Raw genomic sequence first — 4,907 nt, forward strand, 5'->3', positions numbered from 1 at the left:
TTAGAGGTGACTGGAAGACATTTTATCCTCAGCAGAAGAATAGATAAGGATAGGACCTTCCCTCCCCCTTGGACCCCACCAAGGTTTTATCCAGAGGCAGAGGAAGAAGTAACCCTTTATGTGAGTTTGAATGGGCAGAAGAAGAAAAGGATGAAGTTGTCTTCTAATTGCACTCTATGAATGTTGCTTTTTTGTTAACATAAATGTCACATATATTTTTAGCTGGTGTAACAAAAAAAAAAACATCTCAAGCCGGCTTGCATAATAACAGCTTTGGGCACAGTCTGATCAAGGCCCCGGTTCTGTTTGCTAGTGATCCTCCTGATTCTGCCCTCTCTCCATGCTAGTTTCTTCCTCAGATTGACATTCCTCTTGGTCACCAGATGCCTACAATCAGCGGGTGCAACTCTCTGCTCCCTGCTCACTTCTGAAGGGGAGAGCATGGATACCAACCACAGAACAAAGCCCTGCAGTCTCCCGCTGAGTAGAACACCCACGAAGAAGTGTTGGCCATTTCCCTATTGCCAGGGAAATATCATGTATTGGTTGGATTAGGCCTGTATTAATCCAGTTAATGGAACATAGTTAAACTATCCCAGACCCTCCATAGACACTAGAGAAAAGGTGAATCCAACCCAAATGTAAGACTGCTACTCAATAGGACAGAAAAGGCATGGATGTCAGTGAAATGGGAAAAAAAATGTGTGCCAAAGGAGATCAGGAAGGACTGAATAGAAGACATGGCCTTTGAATTGAAGCCTTTAATGAGGAAAGGGGATTGACATTGTATGAGGGCCAGGGTGGAGAGCGGGTTGTGAAGAGGATAGGGAAAATGCAAGGACACTGCGGATATAAGAATTAATGGGAGAATCATGGGCCACAAAGCAGCAGGATTATATTACAGAGATTGTAAGTAGTGTTTATTGAAGCACAGGGTACTGGGGAGGTGGAGGAAAGATGAAACTGTTAAGGAATTTAGACACAGCATGTAGTGGTTGGCAGGAAACAGATGACACTCTCAAACAGGGTAGTTGAGGAGAGCTAATAAAGGGACCATTTACCAAGGTGTAGTTAGGATTAAGAGAAAGCAAACTGGGATGGTGCTGTGCTATGGGCTAGCAACAGCAGGAAGTCATTTCTGTCCCTAGGTCTGAAGAGGGAAGCAGGGGAGCCAACACCAAGGAACCAGAGATCTTAGAGTCTGAAAGTCTGCATGATAGAAGCCATGGCCTTTAGTAGAGGGATCTTGCCTACTCTTAGCAGCCTGGCTTGGAGGGGCCTGGGGAAATAATACCCCAACCTCTCTCCTCTTCTTCAATATTGATGACTTCCATTGGTTAATATCAAACTGGAAGTTGGAGAGAAAGGGAGTCTATCTATACAAGTCAGCACCCTGTAGCCCAGAAGAGAGTAAAAAGGGGGTAAAAAGCAATTTCCGAGGGACAAACAGAAAACACCCAGCACAGAAGGAGGAACAAACATTTGGAGGAACAAACAGAAAATATCAGAAAACATTTTAATCCTGGGTCCTGGGACGTCATGGAAGGTTTTGAAGTTAGGAGCACCGCCATCCTCTAGGGGGAGCTCAAGCATTTCTCTCCACTCATCCCAAAGGCGGTGCATCAAAAGATCAGGGTGAAACTGACTTCAAGGAAAGAGCCCTCGGCTAGAGGAAGAAGCCTGGAGAAGTAAAGGGATTGCTCCTGGAATTGGAAATCTACCCTTTGCACTTCTATTTACTGCATTTGGATTGATTTGCAAGAATAACCATTAAAATAATCAAAGCTAAAAGTAAGTATGTACTGTGTGCCAAGTTCTTGACTCATTTGGCACAACTCTTCGGAGGTAAGCACCATTGAAATTCTCACCTTCTAGATTAAGAGGCTGATAGAACCTGGATTTGAGCCCATTGACAAAGGACCACTCTCTGCTCTGTTCTGTTCTCATGCTGCTGGTTTAGTCAGCTGAGTCAAAGGTTGCCTTTGCTTAGAAGGCCTAACAAAACCAGAGCAGGGTCCATGGAAAAGGAGACATGAAAAGGGACATATTTCCTGGTAAGATTTGTATTCATTTAACAATTTTAAGCACATATTTAATAACCAGGCACTCACTACCTGACAAGCTCTGAGCCAGGTGCAGGGTATCCGAGGGAACTAGGAGAGAGGCACTAAGTGCTGTACTAAGAACCTGAATGAGTGCATTTGAGTCCTGGGTCTGCTACATGTGTGACCTAGGAAAAGTCACTTAAATCATTTAACTGTCTCCTCATCTTTAACATATAGATGGTTAAAAAGTACACAGCACTTGGAATAATAAACGGGCAGATTGTTAATGTTGAAGGTGTGAGCTGCTGTTCTTACAACACAATGTCAGCCCTTGAAGCTCTTACAGTAGATGGAAAGATGGAGATGAGTAGGATCTAATTATTGGCCAAGTGCAAAGGAGCTAAAAAGGCCACCCACGCTGCTACTTACTTCAGCAATACCCAAGGAAACAAGGGCAAAAAAAGAGCTCTAGAGGCTCTTCTTGGTCTAGCCCTGCTTTTGAGTTTGGGGCCAAAGCTCTAATTCACTCTAATTCAGGGGTGTTAGCAAGGTTCTTGTCTGGCATTCTAGCTCTGAACAGTTGATACCAGCTTCCTGAACCATGTGTTAAGAGAGATCTCAGACTGCATGTAGAGAACGTATGCCTTGAGAGATAAGTGATGTCTGCCATTGATTGAGGGTGGAGAGGAGGAGCCAAGTGGTTCTAGAACAGTGTCCTTTTGCCTAGAATGTCCCTACAGCAGGAGCAGCTGGGCAAGACTCAGAAGTCCTGATTATAATCACAGATTAAGGTGACCAACTATCCCAGTTTGCCTAGGACTGTTCCAGTTTTAGAACTGAAATTCCTGCAACCCAGAAAACCTCTCAATCTTGGGCACATCCCAATCAGCTTTGCAGGCTTTCTCTATCTGACAATACCAAAAAAAAACAACAACTATGAGCTCTGACTAGAAGAGATTACTCTTTTTGTCTTGGCCAATTTCAGCCTGTGAAAATGCATCTTATTCTGGCCTGTATGTGCCAGCCATATGCCCTCAAATGTTCCCCCACTTCACAATAGCTGACCTCCATACCTCTCTCCTTTCTCAGCTATTTTTCCTGCTGTATCCACTGACGCCTTAGTAGGAAACAGATGGCACCATCAAAGGGTTTAGCTGAAGAGAATTTCATACAGGGATTATTTACAGAGGCGTGGGCAGGGTTAATGGAACCAACAAGAGCTGGGGAGACAGTCAGGGATTAGCTCTTACCACAGGAGGTCTGCAGGGACAAAGGGAGGGGATGCTGTTACCAGCCTGGTAAGAGCTGAAACTGTGCAGGAGAGGTCACTGGGCCTGGGAGCTGGAGCCTCTGTCTCATCTGCGGTGTGGCAGAGAGGAAAGAGGAGGAGGGCATAAAAATCCCTGGCCCGGCTCTCCTCCTGCCCTCTGGCCTCTTGCCAGTAGTTTCTTGCCAGAGTGCAAGGAAAAGCAAATGAAACAACAGGTCTAGTAGAGGGCAGCCTCCCAGGCCGCAGAGCGTGACAGGAAAAGGCAGAGAACAGATCTAAGAATAACCATCCCAGGCCACCCTATTGTCACTCAGCTTCCATTCTAACACTTTACTTAGCCAAAGAAACTCAGGTCCTCAACACAGGGAAAACATAGTCTCATCAGCTACTGTATCACTGAGTGATGATGTATTTCAGTCATATTACTTCCTGGACCCTAAACTGTAACTTTAGTCACCACCAGGATGCAAGGCAGCAAAGAAAGGTAAAAAAATAAATAACTATCATACTACAGCTCCACATCTAAGCATTTCTAATCTAATAATCCTGACTTCCTCCTCCCAGCACTCGTTCCATAATTCTTTACCCTCACCTAGCATCTTGACAGTTAAGGTGTCTTACTTGATGGGGTGAGCCAAACCTTCCTTGCCACAGGATCCGGGTGGTTCCATCTTTGTTGAGTTGCTGCCGTTTCTCATTGGCCATTACTACTGGACATGGGAGTGCAATGAATCCCATGGGCTCTAGATACAGTGTTGTTTCCATGTGATAGCAAAAATCCCAATTTCTCCTTGATAATCAAAATTAATCATACCAGTCCATACAAACAGCCAATGCTCTGCCTTTGATCAGTGTTGTGAACAACCTGAAATGTTGAAGGGGCATTCTCAGTGTTTCCTAGTAGAAATATATCTCCCCCTTGGGCACAAGAACCTCACGCCCATTAGATGCAATGTTTTAGGGACAAGAAGACAGTATTATTGAAGTGGGTTATTACTCATCCTGAGTTCCCAGAGCCATGTATTCAACACCATGTATCAACCACTGATCTGACCACTTATAGGACAGCACCCCAACTTCACAAGATGTTGTCTCCCAGCAGGCTCCATAAATGAGCCTTCGATAGGACATTTCATCATTCCATCAATCTAGCTGCTTCCAGGTAAGAACAATGAATTCTACGATGTGAGCGTAATACCACAGCTGTTTCACTGTAAATGAGTTCCTTGATCAGTGACAATGCTGTGTGTGACACCATGGGGATGAATAAGGCAGCCTATCAACCACATATGGTAGTGCTGGCGGAAGCAACATGCACAGGAAAGGGAAGTTACTCTCCAGTATATGTAATTATTCCCATGAAGACAAATTCCTGCCCCTTCCATAATGTAGTGGTCTGATATTATCAACCTGGGTGGCTGATACTTCCAAGAAATAGTGCCAAATAAGGGTTCAGTGTTGCCTTCCGTTTTAGAAATCTGGGCACTCAGCAGTGACAGTGGCAGATCAGCTGTGATGTGAGGAAGTCCATGTTTATTTATTTCATTGCCTCTGTTCCTATTCCCATGGCCACTTTGTACATGAGACATTTA

General features: G+C 44.6%; 1 annotated feature.

Moving 5' to 3' along the window:
* Positions 3,573-3,642: a silencer, noted in NCBI's record as "silent region_4695". NCBI's record gives its function as "represses an Ori minimal core promoter by ATAC-STARR-seq in GM12878 lymphoblastoid cells {active_cell/tissue: GM12878}" and the evidence as "EXISTENCE:reporter gene assay evidence [ECO:0000049][PMID:35858748]".

Source organism: Homo sapiens, chromosome 12 (genome assembly GCF_000001405.40).
Source record: "Homo sapiens chromosome 12, GRCh38.p14 Primary Assembly".
NCBI lineage: Eukaryota > Metazoa > Chordata > Mammalia > Primates > Hominidae > Homo > Homo sapiens.